This window comes from Homo sapiens, chromosome 1 (assembly GCF_000001405.40).
Source record: "Homo sapiens chromosome 1, GRCh38.p14 Primary Assembly".
In the NCBI taxonomy this organism is placed as follows: domain Eukaryota; kingdom Metazoa; phylum Chordata; class Mammalia; order Primates; family Hominidae; genus Homo; species Homo sapiens.
Window position 1 is genome coordinate 97,991,699 of NC_000001.11, and position 24,624 is coordinate 98,016,322.

Sequence of the window (24,624 nt, forward strand, 5' to 3'; positions counted from 1 at the left end):
TGTGAAGAGCTAATCATTCAACAATTAAATGTTTGACAAGTTTGACAACCTAAAACTAGACAACGAAATTGCTGCTTAAAATAATAGAAAACATCCTTTTAGGGGAAATTGGTAAACCTCTTCTAGGGGAAATAAGACCCATTTTCATGTCAGCTGAGTTTTAAGTTGCCATTAAAGTGATAATATAAAGGGAAAATAAACGGATTTTGATTACATATTTAACGTTAATTCAAGTGCCTCTTGATATCTCCCCAAATTAGTTTGTTAAAAATAAAATTGCCTGTTGACAATCTATTTTTATAAACATTTAGGTTATCTGTAACTTAATTGTAGTTTTTACTTAAGCCATAACAAATAGTGTTTGTAGTACAAATGTCATTTATATCCCAAAATTTACTTAGATTTAAAAATATTTTTTACCGATTTATTTGCTGTTTCTTCCTGAATCATATTCCTTCTTTCTTGATTTATTTATTTCTTAATGAAATATGTCCTTTAGTATTTTTTCAAGTGAAAGTAGGAAATTCTGTGTCATTGTGCATCTTTAAACTTCTTTATTCCACCTTCTCTCTTAAATGTTTAACTTTTCACTGAGATTTATCTTGTCAGCACATTGAAGTTACTCCTTCATTCTCTTTTGGTCTTTCCTAATGCTGATGAGGTCTTCTATCCACCTGATTGTTCCTTTGTAAATTACCTTTTATCTCTATTTGATTTCAAAATTCTCTCTTTGTCCTTGATGTTCTGCAATTCCACTACAAAGTGACTAGGTATAATTTGGGGGTTTTTGTCTATTTAAATTTTCAAAATAATTACTCATTGCTTTCTTCAGTTTTCAAGAAAGGTTTCAGCCATCATTTCAAATATTTCCTCTTCCCTATCAATAATATTATTTGTTACTGGAATTATTAGACATATGCCAGGGCTTCTTGATATTTTTTTCCATGCCTTTTAAATTTCCTTTAATATTTTTCTTTTCTTTTTCTCTCTCTGTTGCATTTTTGTATGCTTTGATCTACCTATTCACTTATTTTTCTCTTCATCTACATCTAGTCTACATACTCTCTATTATTGTTTTATTTCAATTATTTGTGATTTTATTTGACTGAAATCTCTTTTTGGCTTACACTAGTGGGAGCAGGGAACACAGGATTCTATAGTGTTCTGAAGAGATAATGCTATAAGTGATTCGAAAGAGCAAATGCCTCTGATAAGACTGTAAGATGCACGAGAGAAAGGATGTTTCATTATCTAGGTAGCCCTACTACCCAGTAAACAGCCTGGAAAATAGTATGTTCTCAATAAATGTTTACAGTAATGGATTAAATATAAACCAAGTAAATGTTAAACTTCACAACGATATACCTTAATATTAATATGTTGTCTTTAGTAATTGTCAGTAGTTCAAGTACAGTAATTCTCAAACCAGAGATATTAAAAATCACCTCCGGAGAACACTAAAGTGTAGATCCATAGGTCCCACCATAGAGTTTCTGATTAATTAGGTCTGAGATCTAAATATCCGTATTTTCACAACATGTGAAGTCACATAAACTATAAATTTTGATTCTGAGAGCCAAAGAAGTACCTTGAAAGAAATACTGTCTGAGTGCAATCAGATTTAGAAATGGCAATGATAGAAAGGTAAAGCAAAGATTCCTCTACATGACTTGGTCAGCAGATGGGACAGGAAGAGACTGACAGGAAGGAAAAGCTATGGAATGAAGGAGCAAAAGTTAAATAATAGGAGGGAAGTTTGAGAAGTTCTGATGCTGTCTTGGAATCCTCCTGTTCTAAAACAAAGCTACCTTGTTTTAAAAATACACAAGTAATAAATATTTAGTCATTTGCTCTAGTAAATTATATGCATTTTGCAGCATATACTTTTTTAACTTCTTCACATGGGTTCTTTTACTAATTAAAGCTAATTGGAAATAGGTAGAAAAGGTTAATATTGGGTCTGTTTCCTTGTGGATCTATTTTTTAAGATTTGCATTTAATTCTGTGGGATGATAGAATGATAATGTAATGTAATTTAGCTTAATATCTATTTTGTGTTAGATGACAGTTTTATTAAGCAGAACCAATAATCATCGTTATTCAGAGTCATAATGGCCCATTATAAATGGTCTCATTTTCCCTAATTTTAATTTTACCTCTTAGAGTATGCCTAGAATTGTTAAAATGGTTACGCTTGGTTTCTTTCATAAATATCATTTTAACAATCAGTATGGAAACATAAGTCATCTAGTAGTTAAGTCCCACTATTCTACAGATTTGATACAAAACTATTTTAGTGTCTTGGTTTCTCTTAATTAAACTTTCAGACTAACAAATTTCAGGAAATTAAATTACCATCCTTTATGTATCAGAGCCTTAACATCGAGATGAATAGGCTTTTGTTTCTGGGATACCACCTTTCTGACTCTTGTGTTTCTTAGGATAGTGATGAACAGAGTAGACAAAAGAAGGACTTGTCCCCAACAGGCTGCAGAATAATTAGATTCACAATTCTCTCTTAAAAAAATCTCAACAAACTAAGGTGGTTTTATGTTCATAAGGCATTTTTTCTTTTCTTTTCTTTTCTTTTCTTTTTTTTTCTGAGATGGGGCCTCTTTCTGTTGCCTGGGCTAGAGAGAAGTGGCGTGATCTCTGTTCACTGCAACCTCTGCCTCCCAGGTTTAAGCGATCCTCCCACCTCAGCATCCCAAGTAGCTGGGACTACAGGCGTGCAACACCATGCCCTGCTAATGTTTGTAGTTTTTTGTAGAGACAGGGTTTCACCACATTGCCCAGGCTGAACTCAAACTCCTGAGCTCAGGCCATCAGCCTGCCTTTGCTGGGATTACAGGCATCAGCCAACACACCTGGCCTTATCAGGCATTTTTTTCTTAAGGTGAATAAATTTAGGGAACAGTCAGATTATTTTCTGTCCCAACAATTGCAACAAGAGACGGGAATTTATAGAAGGGAGTAAATGGAGTTATTTGGGTCATAAATACATCAGTGGAGAGAGGGCCTTAGAAGTTCCCTCATTTTAAGGCTCTTTTGAGTGACATCAAATATCTGTTTAAGGTTGCACAGTTTATTGAGCATTCTCACTTACATCCTTTCATATAGGCCTACACCATTCCTTTCAGGGGAAGATCACTATTATTCTAAACTTACACCGAGAGGACTAAGTGTAGAGAAATTAACTCACATCCAAGCCAGTTACCTGGTTTGAGTGGAGGCAAAGCGTAAGCTTTTTTCACAACATCAGAGTTTTTACAGTCAGAACACATCCCAGAGGCTTTGGATGCCTGGGAAAAGAGGCAAAAGGTCAAACAAGTTCAAAAAATGGAGGTTGAAGGTCATCTCAAATACAAACTTTACCAGCTTTATATTATTGTCCAGGGACCAGCATGCAACAATTGCTTAGAATTCAAGGAAAGTCAACTCCTTTCAGCTTCTGTCATGGGCACTATAGGTGGCTCCTGTTGCTTTTGAGTAATAATTCTATTTCATCTATACATGATTAAATAGAACTCTCTTCTATAAAATTTGTGCCTGGATGAACCAAAGATGCATTTTCAAGCATTCAAGAATATGCAGGAAAAAATCAGATCCACTCATGGATACGAACGTGAATTATAACCTATGATGCTATTATGTAATTTGATATTTTACTTTACACCATTCAATTATTTATTCAATAAGTAATCAGTAAGTGCCAGAACTGTGTTATGCACTGATATCACTGAGAAAAAATATATAGTCTCTGCCCATATAAAGCTCATACTCTGGTTGGGCAAGAAAGCATTGACAATACAACATGGTCAATAAGATAGAATTTTTAGTAGGCCATGGGAATGTGGAAGAAAAGACTTTAAGGCAAGCTTTCGTTATCTTTTGAAATGATTGTTTCACCATGATTCATTTACATGCATGCATATCAGTGATTGAAAGTATCTATGTATGTATGCAGCTGTACTCGCACACTTTTTAAAATAACATTCCCAAGTTAAACAGAGAATCCCCATAAAGAATAGTAAATTAGAAGTGCTTTGATTGGCCTTGGAGTATGTAGTTTAACTTCATAGATATTGGACTATCTTTAATATAGGGATCATGATAAGCCACGCTGAGAATCGCATTTAAAAAGTCTTGGATAAATTAATGAAAGAAATACTTTAATTTTTAACCCAACAGATGTTTACTTTCTGGGTTATAACCATCTCTTAAAACCTTAGCATGACTGGAAAGCTGTAACTACCCATGAATTCTGCCAGTTTAGTAAAGTCTTTAAGATAAAGCTAAAATAACTGAGAAAATAGAATATTTCTGACAATATGTTCTGAATATATAAAGCTCTTGGTCAAAAATCATGGTCATATAAAAATCCATGTTCTGCCCCTTGAGTTTTTAGGTCAAGTATTTATACCCATTTATTAATATAAATAATACAAATTACATAAATTCTAGCCAAGCTGTTTGGTTATATTTTTGTTATCTTTATTTTAAATAAAAAAGATCATGGACTTAAGAGTAAGTCTTTGCAACCAAATTCAATCTTTGCCATCTTTGACGCCGGACAAATTTTTACTCCAAGATTTAATTTGTTATCTAGAAAATAAAGAAAATACTACCACATAGTTCTACTGTTAGAACTGAGTCCAACATGAGGAGTGGTATAGTACCTGACACAGCATAACTTCAATATCATTGATAGTTCCTCTTCATGATTGACTACAAAGCCTATGCTAGGTCATGCTTTCGTCATTTAAAAGCATTAAACACTAAAAAACATCTTTTCACGACATTCCACCAGAGGCATTGAGTCAAAAAGCTTAATGATTTCTATTCAACTTACTTATCTTGTGGGGAAATCAAACTCACCTGCCAGCAATTGGGCTGGTCCATGTGAAGAGACCACTCAAAATATTACGTGGATTGTGTTTTTCCATGAAGAGTTGAGACTGACCACGCATTTTTACATATTTTCTCATAGTTATAGTACTGAGTGATGTCTCACATTCTATTTGTAATGCACATGCTGGAGTCAGTACATTAAGCAGGAATTGGGGACGTTTTCTCAAATTCATTAAATTATAAAAGCATCTGATGTTAAAAATTGATTAAATATAGATTCATGGATATCACATGGATAGCTTAGATTAGTTTGTCAGAGATTGGTGTCGATATATCAGGCCTGAGATTCACTCTCCCCCATTCACCAATTACAATCTAATTGGTTTTTCACTCACTGGGTTTTTTGTTTTGTTTTGTTTTAGGCTCACTGACTGACTGCAGCTGTAACTTCAACTTGCCAATGTACACCATTGCTCACAAGAGGACCAGCTGAGAGTGTGAATGAATTTATTGCCAGCCTTTTCCTACTCCTAAAACAAAGCAATTCTGTAGATTTGTTACTGATGAGTCATAGCACCATCTTCATATACAAATAACAACATTTCATATGGCACTATTTTCAATGTAAATGATAGCAGAGATCATGAGGAGATAGTACAAATTATCTTGGGCCATTGTCTTATTTATAGATTAAAGTACAATTATGTTTTTCACTGATTTACCTTCTGACATCTTAGTTAATTAAGTTACTTGTTTCTTTTATGTTCATTCTCCCCTTAGATCTGGCACGACTATTCTTTTCTTTAATATTCTTTCCCTTGTTAAATTGTTAATTTTTTCTGAGGGGCAGAATACCTTTTTATCATTATTTTGAGAATGCTAAGTATTTACATAATTATCCTTCAGAGAACATTGGAAGACAATACTGTTGAACAAATGGATAAATATTAGAAAAGGATTACTGGATAATTCTGTCATTTCTGGAAGCCTCAGTGATTGATTTATTCTCTTTTTACCTTAACATATTTTTCCTCTAGGTTACTATTTTTTTCCTGACAGGTTTTCAAGCTTATAATTGGTCATTTTCTCTGTTTAAAAAAATATTCTGGGAGTGCGCAAGCGCTCAGAAAAATATTATCTATTAGCAAACTCATTAATTTAAGAACCTATTAATAAATTTGCTCATTCATTTAGAATGAAAAATATCTAATACAGTATTTATATTTATATTTATTTTTTATATTTATATTTACATTTATTTTATATTTTATATTTATGGCTTTTAGTCAATATATAACTTCAAAAGAGAATTTCAAATCAAATCTTATGCCAGTCCAAAAATCAAATAACTGATATAAACAAAAGAGTATAGGCCCAACACAAAACAGTAAGACAGAGATAATTTGTTAGTTTAGTTAGGTAGTCGATTAGTCATCTATCATACAATTACTGAAAGTCTACTTTGTGCCAGGAATTTCTTCAGATACAAAGATGAATAAGTCATAGTACATCCCCTCCAAAAACACCTATTCTAGCAAGAAAGGTGCTACGTAAATGCAGAAAAGAATATCAACAATACAATGTGGTCAGATCTATTATAGAGGTATGTAGAGTCACTGAGAGACCATCTAGCCTAATGGATAATACAATCTGGCAGACAATGTATGCTATTTCTGTTTTGATTTGGAATGCATTCTAATTGTTGCCAAGCAATTTTGTTTTATTAACTTTTGTGTTAAATTGGCTAATATTTAAATTACTTTAATTCCTCATATACATACAATTAAGAGGTAGAATGAATGATACACTTTGATGAATGAAAGGGTCACATAAGATTAACATTTGTAAAAAATTAATTTGAAAAATAGAATTCAATCCTAAAATGGAACAGTGACTGCAAAACTAGTGACTGCAAACTTAGAACCATGTTCCTGGAAACTTAGTAGCATAAGCCTGGCATTGACAATCTGATTCATGGTTCTCTTACTATCTACTCACATTGCTCCTTTAGGGGAAATTTGACAATGATGTCTGGAAAATGTATTGCTACTTTCAAAGATTCTTGCTAACATTTGAGCAAAGTGGAAAGCAGTTCTGGCATTTTGGATAAATGTTCCCCAAATCTTCCTTGCCAGATATTTCATTAAGTAGGAAACCTCACTAGGGTAATATGGGAAAGCAATTTAAATAGAAGTTTGGTTCACAACATGATGCTTTTTGTAAATAATATTCTGGGAGGTCTTCTGTGTTTTTGATTAATTTAATTTTAATTTTACTGTTGAAGTTGCGTGCCTCGTCCTGTCTTTTGTGGCCAATAATATCTCCCTGCCACCTGTAACTCATTTTCAAAAAGAAACTGTAAGTAAGTATATGAAAACATCCCATAATTTACATGAGACTTCAATAAATTACTGTTATTTCTAAAAGGATTACTTATTCATTATGTTCCCACAAAAATATTCTCTAAAACCCCCTCTCTAATTTGATGGTGCATTTTAATAGCAATATTATAGCCTTTCTTTTAAATACTATATTATTATAATTGTCCCTCTGTAATTCTAATTCTTTTGCTAAAAGTGGACCCCTAAGAGCAGGAATTGTGTCTTATTCATTGTGTACATCTTTGTATCTCTAACTCAGCACCAAACAAATACATGTGCTTGATTAATATTTTTGGAGAAGTGAATGGGATGACTGACCAATGTTTGATACTTGCTGACGTCTACTTATTTTCTAGTAAATATATATTTCAATCTAATTGTCTTAGTTTAATATCCTCATTTGTTGAAACTGGATGAAAAGGATCTTGAGTAATTCTTCTCTCTATCTCACTTGCCTTTGTTCTGGTGCATATTTTCATTCTTTCTTGGTTGGACAACAGAAATAGCCTTCTTACTAGCTACTTGACTTAAGAATCACCACCTCACTATGCCTGACATCACTCCCAAGTGATCTTTCCAGACTCAAATCTGCTTATGTCACACTCATTCTCAGAATTCTTCCATGCCTGCCCTGCCTTCCACTGTGAATCTACATTCCAATGTTATTTTGCATAGACATAGTACCATATGTTTGACAGGTCTCCCCATCTTTTCATTTCTGTCCCCCAAGTATCTTGGATAGTGTTCATTAAATAAGCTGAATAAATGCTGTTTGATTGAACGAAGGAAGGTGGCTCCAGTAGCCCACTTGTACCAAAGTATGTGCAGGAGAATTAGTTCATAGAAATTTCCATCGGAGCTCTCTGAAAATGGAGATGGGTACTGTAGAAAAGCATTTCTCACAGATGATGCCTGTGCATAAAAATTACCTGAGATGTGTTTTTAAAATAAAAGATTTTTGGAGTCAGAATTTCCAAAGTAAGACATGGGAATCTTTATTTTCTAAAGCAATTGCTATAATTTGTTCAGGGAGATTTGGGAGAGAGCTCTTAGAATAGTAGTTAATATTTGGAGGCTAGATGGCTACTCAGTGTGGGAGGCTGAACTATGTGACCCTAAATTCCCTTCCATGAAGTTTTGGGTGCTATGATTCTAGTGGAGGTCATAGTATATAAATGTGTAGAAGCAGGTGAGTGCTTTGAGACGTAACTAGTGCAGATAGGAGGGATTTGGGGGTAAATGACTGAGTCCAAGTGTCATCAGATCTAGAGAGTTATGACCAATTTTCAAGGATTCTAATAAAAATCTTGCTCTAATCCCCGAGTTTAATCTTTTAACAACTATTTACTGAATGCCTACTATGTGTCAGGTACAGTTCTAGGTGTTGGGGATATAGCAATGGCAAAACACACATACTCTCTGCTTTTGTTCAATTGGTTTGTCTAGACTCACCACACTTGTCTCTAGGACTCTCCCGTGGTTAAGAGTTATTTTCATAGCCACTTGATTCTTACGCTAACTGAAAATGATCATCCTCAAAGTCCCATCGTTATCCTTGTTAAAAAATAAGTGTCAGCCTGGGCAACATAGGAAGACCTCATCTCTAGGAAAAATAAAAATTTTAGCTGGATACATGCTGGCACATGCCTGTAGCCCCAGCTACTCAGGGGGCTGAGGCAGGAAGATCACTTGAGCCCAGGAGTTCGAGGTTACAGTGAGCTATGATTGTGCCACTGCACTTCAGTCTGGGAAACAGAGCAAGACCCTGTCTCAAAAGAAAAGAAAAAAGTGTCTGAGATTTTCAGTCTGGCTGGAAACTCCAAAAGTATCCTATGTCCTCTGAGGGTGTAATAGGTGAGTTCAGATTATCAGACACTACTTCTTATCTTGTGAGATCTATATATGTCATTGGCCAAGGTTCATTCCAGATCTAGCCTTGAGTCTCTGACCTAAATGTCCCCATCATTTTAAGTACAATGACATGTTATTTCTTATTTTCATCTTTTGAACTGGGCATTTTTGTGCTCATCTTGAGAAACCCACACATATTTCAAGCTCTGAAGGTAAGATGGTCAAGTGGGGATAATTGTGGGCTTTGGAAACCAGATTAACTAAATTTTGGCTCCACTTACTAACTATTGAACCATGAATAAATTACTTAACCTACCCGAGACTCAATTTTATCAGCTGTAAAATTGGGATAATAGTCCCTATTTCACAGGTTGTGAAATTAAATGAGATATAAGACAGTGTTATATATTATAGTGCCTGGTATTTAATACTTACACATTAAAATTACTGTGTAATTTATCTGCATAAAACAGCACACTAAGAGAGAGAGTTCTGAGGTAACTAAGATAACTTACAAATATGCACTTATGGTAATAGAGAAGTTTTTTTTAAACTTTGTTAACTTTTCAGAACACCTAATATTTTTATGAAATGTGGTGAGTGAAAATGATGACCCCAAGAAAGGCAACGTTTTCCACTACTACTTTTTATACAAAAATCCTTCATCATAGTCAAGAATTAGATTTCTTGATATTTCATTTCTATATAAAACTATTCCCATTTTAAAGAACAGATTTTGTACATACATACAATAAAATTGCCACATTTTCATAAGAAAATTCATTCAAAGACAAAGTCTACTAAATTAAATCCAAGGACAGGACAAGACCATATTGAAATAAGTTACATTTAAAAATAGAACTTTGCACATGCAAAAACTGAAAACAAAATAATAAGCATGTGTGTTAGGTTTTTTTGTTTTTTATTCTGTTTTTTCTTTTCAGTAAAAAAGTTTTATAAGTGTGAATGCATTAGAAAACTGAAGAATTTTCAAGAGCCAAGAATGTCATGGTGATTTCTGTGAACTTATTTCTAAGGACTACAAGAAACACACTGGTTGCTAAATGTGAATTAGGAAACATGAACTCTTGCATACACAACAACCCCAAAGAAAAGCAAAAGAAAAGACTATCTTAATTTTGGGTCCAAATTCCACCCATACCTATAGTTGCAAAATAAAACAGAGAAAAATGGCCTTTATTAGCAGTGGCTTAAATGTCCATGGGGTGGTGCAATTGACTTTTAAAAATAGAAAGCCAGGCTATCAAAATAAATATCCTTTTTCTCTTATTTATTGGAGTGAGGGATATTTTCACTAATCACTGTGCTATAAATTTAAGAGACTTAGAGCATTTTACAGTTTCTTTTATTCGTCACCTTTCCCTGGGATCCTTGGAAGATGACTTTATCAAACACAAACATATTTTTTAAACTGGTAGATTAAAAAGAGAAGTTATTTCTTTTGCTTCCAGGGGTTTTATGAGCCCCACATTTATGTATTTATCACTGTAATTTGGATAATTCCCAACACTACCATCAACACCACCATCCACCATGTATATTGTACAGTAGGATTTCTTAAATATTTCCATATTATGGCACTCATTGAAAATAGTATTTGTGTACACGCTGGGGTAAAAGAGAAGGGTTTGTCCAGCAGACATTGGAAGCAAAAGGCTGGGCCCCACGCCTAAGCTCTGAGAGCTGCAGGAATCACTATTGTTGGCAAACCTGCAGCCTGTTTGGAAACACTGGGGTATATTAGCATGCCAATTGGAAAGCTCTGTGTTTGATTTCAAATAATGCATATTAGTAGTAAAGAGAGAATAATACCCTTCATCCCATCCCAAAAAGAAGGCTGACAATACCAAGTGTTAGAGACAATGTGGATAAATCATTCTACTACACATTGTTAGAGGTAAATTGACACAAGTGTTTTCAAAAATAATTCAATATTATCTTGTAAAGCTGAATTTTCATGCATTCTACAATCCAGAAATTCCTCCTCAAGATATGTGCATATGTGTGTGTATGTGTATACATGTGTATGTATAAGAAGACATGCACCAGAAGATATGTACAATAATATTTTTAGCAGTACTACTTGTAATAGCAAAATAATGCCAACTCTAATTCTCATTGACAGGAAAATGGACAAGTAAATTGTGATATATTTGCACACACACGCACACACACAACGCTATATATATATATTTTTGAAGTTTCCTTGAGCCTAAAGTTTAGCAGAAAGTATTTCCGTATTTTGTATTGCATCTTAGCTTTCTATTGAAATAGATTGTTTTCAATGTCTATGTTGATCTCAGGCAAGTATTTGAGCCTTAAGTCTCAAGTAAAGGCAATTAGCAAATGTGAACCTGTTTGTACTGAATTGGGTTTTTCCTTTTCTGAAATTGTCAATGAAAAATTTGGGGTTCCAAGTAGCAAATTAAATTCCTGAGCAATTTTACCTGCGTAAGGTAATTATTCATGGTTTGAGAGAAAGGAATAAGATTGTATACCTATGTAACTGATATATTTTGTCTTAAGCATGTTTTCTTTTAGAGTTTAAAATATAATGCTTAATGTTTCTCATCTAACTTGGGTATAATAATGACAATCACTAAAACAGAATGCAGCTTGTCAAGCAATTTAACTTTAGAAAGGAATGTCTTTAAAGAAATTAGAAAAGCAGGAAGGAGAGGAAGAGATTGATTTATTAGTCTCCCTTAGTGTGTTCAAAATTTAACAATTCTTCCTGTCTAGAAATTGTTATATGTAGCTTTAATCTCTTCTACTACAATGCAACTTCATTTTCTCTTTTTATGTCTTGGAGGGCAGAGGGCCCCAAGAGTGTAAGAGAAGTTAAAGAATAACCAGCTCTACAACCACAATTGGGTAGTGTTGACACGACTATAAAATGAAAGCTATTCCACTTGTTCTATCACCCTTAAACTTTGGAAATAGTGTCCAATAGTGGAAAATTAAAAAAAGAAAAAAATAAAGCTTGCCTTGTTTTCCACAGGAAAAGGATCATGAGTCTGTCTCTCCATGATAGATTAGATCAATTGCATTTCTTTCAAAATCTTTTAAAAACAAAAGTGAAGTCTAAAAGTTTTATGTCATCATTGTGATATCAGTAACGTGTGACACTTAAGCAATTGATTCCTATGTTCATTTTGCTTTATTAATAATCCTTTGTATATTTTCTGACACATTATCCTGTTCATACTTTCATAATCACTTCAATTTTGAAGATAGTCTCATCGCAACATGTACTCATGAGGGCCAGTTTCATCTGTTGGAGATTGAGATCATGTATCAGGAATACCCTTTGAGTTTTCGTGACCTTAAAAGCAATGTGAAATTGGATCACAATTACAGAAAAATACCCAGTCTGTAACTATTTGTCTCAGACTTCTTAATGGTAGCTCTTGTACTTGAAATGAGTTAGAGAAGACTGTTCAACATTAAATCTTTTCTGTGGAACTTATTGAAGTACATTTGAAGTTTATTATTCTCTTAAAAGTCCTAGGAAGTTTTAGAGAAAATGCTGGTTCCAAGTATGTACTGTCTCTCACATGACATTTCTAATGATCCTCAATAATTGTACAGGGAATATTTTAAATATATCAATGTATTCACTATTTATGAGGCTTTTATTGCAAACAATGAATTGATTTAAACATAGTAAAATGTCTAGAAATTATTAAAAACAGGAAATATACACTATTATTATTCCAAGTTTTGGGGAAAATAAATAAGGCACATTGGTGTTATGTCACTTATTAACCGGCAATTATTATTCTTCTCAGATTTTTATGTTTTAGTTGTTGTTGTTGTTGTTTAATTTTAGAGACAGGGTCTGGCTCTGTCACCTAGGCTGGAGTACAAAGATACGATCATAGCTCACTGCAGCCTTGAACTCCTAGCCTCAAGCAATCCTCCCACCTCAGCCTCCCAGACAGTTGGAAATACAGGTGTAAACCACCAGGCCCCACAGATCTGTCCAAATTAATCATTAAATAAATCCTGAGTAGTAGAAGATTTGGGAGAAAAGCCTTTCTGCTTTTGTGTGATCCCTGAAAGTCTGTCTAGAGAATAAATTTCCAGATGCCACACATGCACAAAAAAATTTACCTATAAATAAATTTATAAGTTTTTAAATAACATTTGCAAATAATGTTTATTACCAAGCCATTTTATAATTTTGAGTTGAAATAAATTACATTGTTTACATTGTTTGTGATCTATGATTCTTTTTGCAACAATCTCTTACCAAGTAGTAATTACATACATTTTCTGAATTACAGTCTAAATTTTTTTTCAATTAGACCTTGCTAATTTTTTCTAGATTCTTGATTTCAAATATCAGCTAATTACAACACTACATTTTCCATGAACTTTGTAGGTCCAACGTTTTGTCTGTAACTTGATAACCAATTTGAATTAATTTATTTTGGCATCTTATGGAATTAGTGTAAATGATCTTTCATTAAGGTGATATCAGTTTAAATCACAAAATTTAATTTCAGGAATGTAGCTCCATTCATCTATTTAATTCACTTATGCTAATACCTCAACATATGGAATAATAAGCAAACTATTGTTCATTAAAAAGTAGAAAAGTCAAAATAATTTTCTGATCTAATGGTTAGTAATATTGCTATAAGCTTTTACTAGTTTCTACACAGAAAGTGACATAAAGCAAAGTCATATCAAGATAAGGCCTTTTCTTTTTAAACTATTGCCTGAAATTCTTTCCAAATAATTCAGCAATTAGTCAGAAAACTACTAGTTTGATGGAATGTCATGTTGCAAAGATAATTATCACTATTACATCTAAAAATTATTTCTACAGTATGAATAGATTATGTCTCTAGTTGTCTACTGAGGAATCTTCATCTATAAATTTATGAGTATATTTTAATATAATGTCTATATTTTAAAGGTATGGACAGAAAGGAATTCTGTCCTGGTCTATGCACATGGGAAGCTCTTTTTTCTATCCCCAGAGGGTTCATGGGTTTTGGAGGTCAAGTCCAAAGCATGTGCTCTGTAAAATTCCCAGACTTGCCCTGAGCTCCCTCTGGAAGTCTAGTTATACATTTATAAGTGAGAAATTATAGCCAGGCCAGGTCACCTGCAAGACCCCACCATCTACTATGAGTCCCTATCTTTAATGCAGCTCTGATTTCCTCCTTAGAATATGGGTGTTGCACATTTAAACAACACATGATTCCATTTCCCAGCTATCAAGTTAGCAATATTTTACTGAAATTGGAACACATAGTTGATATAAATACAATAGAATCAACACTTTAAAATATGAATAGTGGCAATTAATTGATAAACTCTCTAAAAATCATCTTGGCAAGATGCACTGAAAAGCTTAAAATGTTTGTATCATCTGAGACAATACATTTTATTTCTGGGAATATATCATAAAAAACTAGAGTACTGACTAAAAGTGTATTGAAAGGTGTTTATGACAGTGACATTTGCAATATTAAAATATAGGAATAACTTAAATATCCAACAAAATGGAACTGGGTAAATAAATTTTAGTATACCTGTACGAGGAAAAGATATTACAAATAATTAAAATTTATAAGATTATTCATAACATGGGAAATGCTTTTAAATCAATGAAAACTGACCATTGAAAAAAAATCTTTAAAAAAGAATCACATAACTTTAGGAAGAATTGTATCTCTGTATGTGTGCATATCTGTATTTGTAGCTATTTCTATTTTTCTATCTAACTATATTTAAAACGCATGACAGCTATCAAGGAGAGACTATGACCAGTTTGTTCTTCTAAATTTCTTTACACTTCTAAAATTTTTCAAAATTGCATAAAATTAGATTACATTATATTTACAATTACAAGAATCTTATTAAAAAATAGACTCAGCCCTTGGTAGTGGAAAAAGGAGTGTCCTTCATTAAGAAATGTATCCCTGTCTGAAATGCACCAAAAAACACTATCAAACTGCTTCCATATACTAGAACATTCCATCTCTTACTCCTGGGTGACAAATTTTGATACATTTGATAACTTGATTCATATAAGTATTATCAATAATTGAGGCACTTAGATTCATGTATAACAAAATTTCCAATACTTCATTTTTGTCAAGTGTAAAATGATATGGGTAAGCTGAGAGTTTAAAAAAACCTCAAAGAAGGTATGAAAATTATAATTAAGAAATAATTATAAAATCATGCAGAATTAGACCTTTATAATTCATCAAGTATAGTATAAACAATTTTTTTCTGTGAATTTTTTTTCAATGTACATTTTACATGCCTTCTTACAAACATTATTGACTTTGGAGGACTTGAATATGTAATGTTTGGAAACTAAACAGGAGTTTATTAGTTTCACTTAGAGTCTTTCAAACGAAGTCTTGGAGTTGTTAAAAGATCTTTGCTTTCATCCTAGAAATTATTGTGTTTTTTTTATATTGACACCAAGCTGGTAACTTTGAAAATGGAGGAATGTCTTAGGATAAGCACAACTTGGAAGCAGGCCTAACTGCTCAATTTTATCCAAATAACTAAAGTTAGTGGAAGGTAAATGGTTTCTATGGGGTGATTATGTTCATGGTAAACACCACTTCTAAGATATTTATTTCAATGCTTTATAATTGAGTAAATATAGGTATGGAAAACGTTTATCAATTAATTGTATTGACTTAATATGTATGAAGTTTGCTCAACACCAGACACATGGTAGTACAGTGTTCTGCACATAATAGGATCAAGTTGAAAAGAATGTGGAAGGAATGAGTAAATGAAAGGCCTTTAATGAACCCGTTTCCTTCCTTTTCATCTCTGTTGATTCCTTAATTGATAGCTAAATCAAAAATTCAAATCTGCACTGTGACATGGAAGATTTCATGTTTATAATAATACAAAACAAACAAACGAAATATATTTATTTTGGTTAACATAATTTAAAAACTTTCAGAGTAAAACAAATTCAGTTAGTAGGCACAATGCTGGTTTGTTAAATTCAAGTTTCAGGGGAAATGGAAATTCTTACATGTGCCTAGATAATAACCCTATAATATATATTTTCATGATTACAATAAAATTACTTATAGGCCCCTACAGTTACACTACTGAGAGCTGCAATCACAATGAATTTGCACAAAGAATGCAAATTTCATTTTTGCCAGAGTGATATGACTTACATCACATGTGGCTGTTATAGTTTTAATAGATGCTTAGCAACTGAATCTATAGCTTTTGTTTGGTAATGTCTATTTTAGGAAAAGAAGCATATTCAACCGGAACTAGGAAAAAAGCTTGTTTTTATATTGATTGATGCACATTAATTGTTTAAGAAGATATTTAAACATTCCCCAAGACCTTCTTTTGAATAAATCATTTGCTAAATCATAGGGATATAAAGCATAATAGAAGGGACTGAAATTCAACAAATGCTTATAATTTGAGTTCTATGTGCATTTTAGATATGTGTTTGTGTGGGTAACAGAAACTGAATAATATATTTATCTTGGGATAGAACTGTCATCAGTAAGCTAAGAAACTAGAAATTGATATCTCTGCTTGGGTTAATTTGAAGATGATGTTGTGTTTGTTTGCAAATAATTTTTAAAGTAATGAACTACCCACTACACTACCTATAGGCTTTATTGAAAACTAAAAATGCAAAACAATTGAGATAATGATCATTTTCTTAAGAGGGAAATGAGAAATGGTTTTACTTTTCGTCAGGATGCCATTGCAGATTAAAGAAAAATGTGATTTCATTGTATGCTACAAAGGAGGATGACATCAAAGTGTCCTCTTGGTAGCAAGCTAGCTATATAAACCACAAAAAGAGAGCTGCATTAAAAATACAATACATTGAAACAGTAATTTTTCAATGCTATGTAAATACTGTGGACATTTTAAATTCAAAGATAAGCAGAATCAGCAGATAGTGATAGTTTTAAATTTGCTAAAAATCAATAGAAGAGCAGTAAAATGCAATTTTCCTAAACCGGGCTGTAACTTCAAGTGAGCTGAACCATTCTGATGCAACTGAGAGATTTTTTTTTTTAAATAGGACTTAAGAAAATTGATTTAACATTGTTTCATTTTATTAGTGGTTGAGCAATATAAATGTGAAATGCTTTGAAGTAATCTGCATTATATTTTTATTAGCTTCAGAGCTTCTATATACGTATTTTATATTCTTTTCAAAAGCTTAAATAGTATTACATTCTAATTATTATTTGCAGATGGTATTTGTTTTTCTTGTAATGACCAGTCAGAAATCATTTGTCTGAATTGCACGAAAAAGAATAATTTCCTGTTGAGTAGCAGTTACTCAGTATGCATTCTAGCTCTTGCTATCTCAGAGGGAAAGATTTAAATAATGTATGGTGGGTTCCTTTGTAATGAGGTGCTCTTTTCTTACGTTTTGTTGTGATTTTGTCACGTTAGAGGAAATGTCATTAAAGGGACACAAATCATATCAAGGATTTTATCAATGCTATATAATTGACCTATATATCTTTTAATGGGTGGGTGAATGTCATTCAAGGCTCTTGAGCATTTAATTCAAATACTAAATTTAAGAACCACAAGCATATTGATGAGTTAGGAAAAGACAGAATTGTGTGGATAAAGCAAGACCTGGGTGAACAATCTTTCTTTCTTTCTTTCTCATTAAAGATTGATCTAAAGATTTTTTTGAGGTAGACTTATTTGATAGCCATAGTCACTTTTTGGTTCTCAGAGTGGTAATAAAGAAATCGCTCAATAAAACACAATTTCCCTTTTCTCTGTGTCTGGTATTCCGTTTCTCTTCAAATGCAGCTGTTTTCTTCATGCTTCTTTCAAATATGAAGACCATGAGAAAAACAAAACAAAACGAAACAGTTTCAGAAGAGCCCGGTAGCTTTTTAAGCCTTGAACTGAAATCTTGCTTTTAAGCATTATTTCTAAAATAGGCAATCCTGCAATAATAAAAATGAAAATAAAAAGTCTAATCAAAATTTAACAAAAGAGTAGGCTCCCTAAAGGTATCCTTCACTGTCTGTCACCTCTTTTCTTAAATGTTTCCTAAATGTGAAATCTCTTGTATCATCTAGCACACTTGATTTCTTCAGTTATCGATATTTATTTTGTGCATTTCTTTTTATTGCCTACACATTTTGCTATTATGTCATGTCAGGCACTTTGTCAATTGACAGTATACGTAGCCTTGTATTTGGATACATATCTAGGAGGCATAATAAGTAGTAGCAACCCATAGAACACAAATCAGAACTTCCTATGCCAGAAAAAAATGATTTACCAAAGTTCTATGATATTCTCTTAAGGTAAAACATTAGCATGTTAATTTTACCTGTTTTCCAAAGAGCATGCCATTATTATTGACATGCTACTGGCTTTATGGTCCCAGGATGCATGAATTATTAGTGTTGCCTGACATTTTTAAATTCCTAACTCTATAGCCTATAGCAGTACTTCCTGTTAGCTATTATGAGCTTTAAGAGTGCATGCTAGATGCTGATCAGTGATTGTTCAGTAATTCAGAGGTGTCAAATTCTCTCGTGGGTTAAAAAAAATGTTGGTTCTTTCTGGATTTTTATAAGACAATATATAAATAAAATTTTAACACACTGAATCTGATATCTAGAGGAGAGCCATCCTGATTTTTGAAAAGAAACTGCACTTTCCTACCATTATTTTTCTAAGAAATAAAACCATACTATTCAAATGCATTTATTTATTTGATTGTAGTGCCTTTTTTCTCAAAACATTACAATGAAATATTATAACAGCACTATATCACACAAAATTGAATTTATCTCATTTTTTTAATCCAAAAAGTCCACCTAAATAGGAAAAATAATGAGGATATTTAATTTATAGAAAGTTATGGTATATTTACAAGTTTTTAATGTTTCAAGAACAATATTCGGATCTTTTATTAGACTGAGTTTTTAAATGGTTGTTTGTTATAGAAAAATACAAACATTTGAAGCAATAAAATATTGAAATAGAAATATCAAAGACATATACTTTTATCTGAAACAATTTTTATCTTTTTTTATATTAACATTTTCAGTGTGAGAAGATGTTAATCTTTAAGTGAATCAATGCATTCTCAAATGCATCTGTGTTTGGAATTTTTAATTGGTAAAGAATCACAATGGAAATATCTTATTTTCATTTTTTCCCTTTAATATCTATTAAGCCTGCCCTATCAGCAGGAAGCACTTGCAATTAGGAAACCTGTAATGAAACTCAGCACAATTAATTCCCTGTTAGTCTCTCATGCTAGATTTCTACTTCTGGATATGTTGCTAAGTTTTGGGTTTAGGCACTTGCCTTATATAGACTGACACCCAGCTCGTCAAAGGACGTATTACAAAATCCCAGTGATTAGTTCCAGTGATTAGTTGAGAATCACATTTTCTAGCACTCTCCTATCGACAAACCCAATGGCTGATTTTAAGCTCTTGTCTCAACTTATCTCTCTAAAGCATTTCAATCTATAGGACCATTTCCTATATCTTGAAATACTCTTCTCCTTTGGCTTCCATTCTTCTTGTTCTCATCTCATCCCATCTGTTCAACAATCCTTTTGAACTTCCTTTCTGGGTCCCTTCCCATTTCCCATTTTTTAGGTTCTATTCTTGGTACTATTCTCATTTATCCACCTGTAGAACATTTATGAAGTATTTACTATATAGAAAATTGGCTGTGCATGGTGGCTCACGCCTGTAATCCCAGCACTTTTGGAGGCCAAGGCAGGTGGATCACGAGGTCAGTATTTCAAGACCAGCCTGACCAACATGGTGAAACCCTTTCTCTACTGAAAATAGAAAAAACAGCTGGGCGTGGTGGTGCATGCCTGTAATCCCAGCTACTCAGGAGGCTGAGGCAGGAGAATCGCTTGAACCCGGGAGGCGGAGGTTGTGGTGAGCCAAGATTACACCACTGAACTCCAGCCTGGGCAACAGAGTGAGACTCTGTCTCAAAAAATAAAAAAGAAAAAAGAAAGAAAGAAAGTTGTATAAAAAACTCTGAGAGATTCAAAACTGTATACAATAAGGATAATATCCTGAGGACTTTGACATTTAATGTGTAAATCATTCCAACTGGATATCAATGCTTGTCTTCTCTGTACTTCAATTCTACCTGGATAATCTCACTATTCTCAAGACTTCAACCACAGTAAATAGTGACCATCCCTAACACTTCTATCTAGAGCTGTGCTTTCAGCTCCTTACTGGACATCTCCGCCTGCTTGTCTTCTAGGCAGTTATAATTCATTGTGTTACACATTAAATTTTCCCTCTACCAGCGCTCTTTCACATCCCCCAAAATCCTGGTTCATCTACTGAATTCTCAGTCTTCAACGCTGCCACATGTTTTAACACTTCTCCAACCTCATACTGTCTAATTTATCCTTGAGTAGTGCCTTCTATTTCCTCTTTTATATTGAATTCATTACCCCAGTTTGCTGATTTTTCTCAAAAAATTGTTTCTGAATATCAATCCTCATCACCATCTTTTATCTCGGTCCTATATCACCTCTCATCTGGATAAATGGCAAAAGTTTCATATTCTATTTTCCTACCACATTTAGTAGTGGAAGTATAAGGGGCTTTGGAATCTTTCAAAAATGATTAAATGTACATGACTTGGTCATGTGATTTTGGATGGCTGATTGTTCTAAGCTTCAGTTTTCTCACCTATTAAATGAAGTAATCTGTGCATTTCAAATTCGTTGAAAAAATTAGGTAGTATCTTGCTAGAAAGTGATTAGCACAATTCCTGGCACATATTAAACACACACACACACACACACACACATTTGTTACTTGTTCACTGCAATTTATCCTGGACAACACTGTAAAAATTGTCTTCCTCTAAAAACTTATTTTTCTATTTAAAACCTTCAATGATTTCACATTGCCTACAACTCACAATTCACCTGGATATTCTAACACCAATTTACTTCTCTGACTTCACTTTCTACCCCTCCACTCCACGCACGATTTGATTCAGTTGCACCAACCTTCTCATCACTCAGAGCTCTCTAATCCCTGTGAACACTCTACACCTTACGCATACTGTTCCTACTCACTTCCTGGAAAGGTCTTCTCCCACTTCTCTTGGTAAAACTCCTACTCATCTCCAAGAACCAGCTCAAATGGCACATCTTTTGGAAGACTTCCCTGAATCATCCAAGAAGGAATAGTTATCCTTCCACTTGTGTTTCTGGATCACTTTCTTTGCAAACATAATAGTATACTACTTTCTTGTGACTTTCCCTATATGAGTTTCAGTTTGCTGAACAACAATAGTAATAATTAGCATTTATAGAGTGCTTACTGTATGTATGATCTTAAAGAATAAATTTATCTTGCTCATCTCATTTGGTCTTCACTACAACACAGTGAAGTAGATGCTATTTTATTCTTATTTTAAAGATAAGCAAAATGAAACTTAAAAGTTTGCAATCAATACAAAAGTACATCTATTAAATATCAACAAAAAATTTAAAGTTTGTAATTAGTCTGGGATGAATAACTTACATAGATCTGACTTCACAGTTCACATATAATCACATATAATAATAAACATATATAATCATAGATTCCAATATCTTATGTTTGTGCACAAACCCCTTTGAGAATATAATAAAAGTAAAAGAAAATGCAATTTTCAGATCATGCAGAATTTAGTATACATCAGGTAGTTCATGGATCCTCTAAAACAGTTTTATAGACACTTAGAATGCCATTGATCTAAAGATAGGACACTCTTCTTTACAGATAAAATTTTTGATTATGTAATCTGATGAAAAAGTATTCTCAAGCTTTTTTATTTGAAAATAACATTTATGGTTAATAACTAATTGCATATTTTCAAAAAGCTAAAAGAGAATTCTGAATGTTCATAACAGAAAGAAATGGTACACATTTGAGGTGATGGATGGACTAATTACCCTGATTTGATCATTATACATTGCATACGTATATCAAAATATCACTCTGTATTCCATAAATGTGTACAATTATTACATGTCAACTAAAAAAATCCACATTTCAAATACCAACCTTCAGTTATCCCCATAAAGTGGCCCATAAGGAACTTCTAACTTTTTACATTCTATGGAACAAAGCTTGAAAACCACTGGGCTAAGGTAGTGACATGTTCAATCCCTCAGAAATGTTTAATTCTCTCCAGGTTGGACAGCATCATGAACTGTGCCTGACTTACCACTGTATTCCATAATCTGCTTTTTAAAGGATGATTTACACAATCAAGCTGTTATCTGAATATTTAAATGAGGATGGGATTTAAAAGTGGAGTAAGATATATCTCCACAACTGAGGTAGATAGGGCAAATTACTTTTCGTCATGAAAACTGAGTAGCCTTGGCAAATAGCTGACACGAATGAAGATATGCTGATCTAGATTATTAAGACCACCACTGGACATATTTGGATCAGTGCTCAAGCATGTGAATTATGAGTTAATCAGTAAATAAAATGAACAAAGTTGTGATTATATGTGGGTAGCAGAGGTTGCAAATTGCCTGCCAGCAGACTCAATTTGGCCTACAAATATGTTGTTTGGCCAGCATAATATTTTTTAAAAATTTAAGCCAGTATTTAAACATCAGGATATTTGGTTTTTTTACATGAATCCCTGAGTTTCCAGCTTTCTCTTGAAAATTTGGAAGCTCTGACAATACTGGGCCCACATTCTCACATGGTGACAATTGGCTAGAACTGAAAGCAGCTGTTTCCTCTACACAAGACATGTACTTTCTAGTACAGCACAACTCCCAGTAGACCCACTTCACACATATACCTGTACCTGCTTGTCCCCCATTAGGCAGTTGTAACCCTAGAAGACTGGCCTAAAAATTTGAAGAGTTTATAGGAAACTGCTATTTTAAATAATGCATCATGTGCTGCAATGCCCCCCCACCAAAAAAAAAAAAAAAAGAAAACAAAAAAACATAAACAAACAAACAAACACCTCTTCTAGAGTGTAGGCTGGAAACATATACTTCTAGGTAGCCACTGAGGCTGTTATGACCCCCAAGAAATGTGAAAACAGAAAATTTTCACCTCTATTTATTTGGATTCATACCCGTTTTACTACGGAGAAACAAAAGGCTTGCATTTTAGCCTATCAGTCAAAGGCAAATCAGTTCTGCAGGTAGTAGTGAAACAGCATGGAAGTCAGGTACTCTATGATGTGTGTGAAATCAAATCCAGAAGCACAGTATACTTTTGGTGAATTAAGTTACAATTAGATGTAACTTTTAGTATTACACTATAAGAAAGAGGATGAGGTTGAGGTGGGGTTCAAACTTCTTCCTATTCTCTTCATATTGGTATTCTTTCATTTGTGTTATCACTGTTGAATAAGAAAATATAATATAAGCAAGCAAAGCAAATGGGAAAAGATTTTATAATTCCATGTTTTCTGGTTTCTATCTGGTGATGATGAACATGGTATCATTAAAATGGTCTAGTAGCTATAGTATTTCCAGTTATTCTAATCCTTATAATTCTACAAGGCTTTGAAGGAATTCTCTTGAGAAAAAAATAACTATATCACAGTTTAATTGTTTATAGTGACTAATCAACATAACACTAAATTTCTATTCATGGTGCTTTCTTGAATCTTAGACTAGACTATGTATTGGAGAACTGATTTGATTTAGGAGGAATCTGAGTCCTTAAATTATTATGGAAAAACCAGCTCACATTTCTTTGATGTGTCACTCATCTTTCAGTAGCCCTGCTAATATTAGAGCACTTCATTTTTTTCCAAAGCACTTTCACATACTGGAAAGTTGCCTTCAGGTATTTCAATTAAGTCAATTTTAGGATATTTAGCCTAATGGAAGTATGAACAAGGGTAGCTCAAATAGAAGGGCGACTGATTCAGGACTTTTCTTTCTGGTTCAGCAGTACTTAAGGACTGCTGAGAGATTTAATAACTCTGGTAAGTAGTGACAGGAGAAATACTATCTAGGAAGACTCCAGAAATATGAGAGTTGTCATTTATATTAGATCTTTGCCGTTTATGGATTTACCATTTGAAATCTGACTAGTCACGAGCTTTCCGAAAAGTTTATGATATTTTAAAGCTATGGTCATTTTTTCAAAACTCCAAATTTGAATTATTTTCTTTTAACTCTGGTAATGTGAAGAAGTCACTTAGCTAGTAAGTATTGTGAGTCACTGAGCATCATGCTCAATGCTGCTTGTCCTTCTCCAACCATCTCTGCCCATACAAAACATTTCTCTTAGAACTGTTTAAAGGAAACAACAAAACTCAGTTCCTTTGTGGAAAGAAAATATCCTCAAAAGAGAGAGGCAAAAGCGATTAAATTTCAGTGAAAGGATTTCTCAACTCAAACAAGCCAATGCTGCGCTAGCATTTCTATGTTTGTAAACTTGGAAATTGAAAATCTCAAAAACTGAAAATTTTAGGAGTCTACTATCCTTTATAGGTACCCTTTAATACTTGTTCTCTT

General features: G+C 33.2%; 1 long non-coding RNA gene across 1 annotated transcript in view; it reads right to left on the minus strand.

Annotated features, from left to right (window-relative positions):
• Window positions 1-24,624, minus strand: part of MIR137HG (MIR137 host gene) — a 61,694-nt gene that overhangs the window by 3,699 nt on the left and 33,371 nt on the right. The window contains exon 4 of the long non-coding RNA NR_046105.1: window positions 3,218-3,302. This is a non-coding gene — a long non-coding RNA (MIR137 host gene). The remainder of the gene's footprint in view (window positions 1-3,217; window positions 3,303-24,624) is intronic.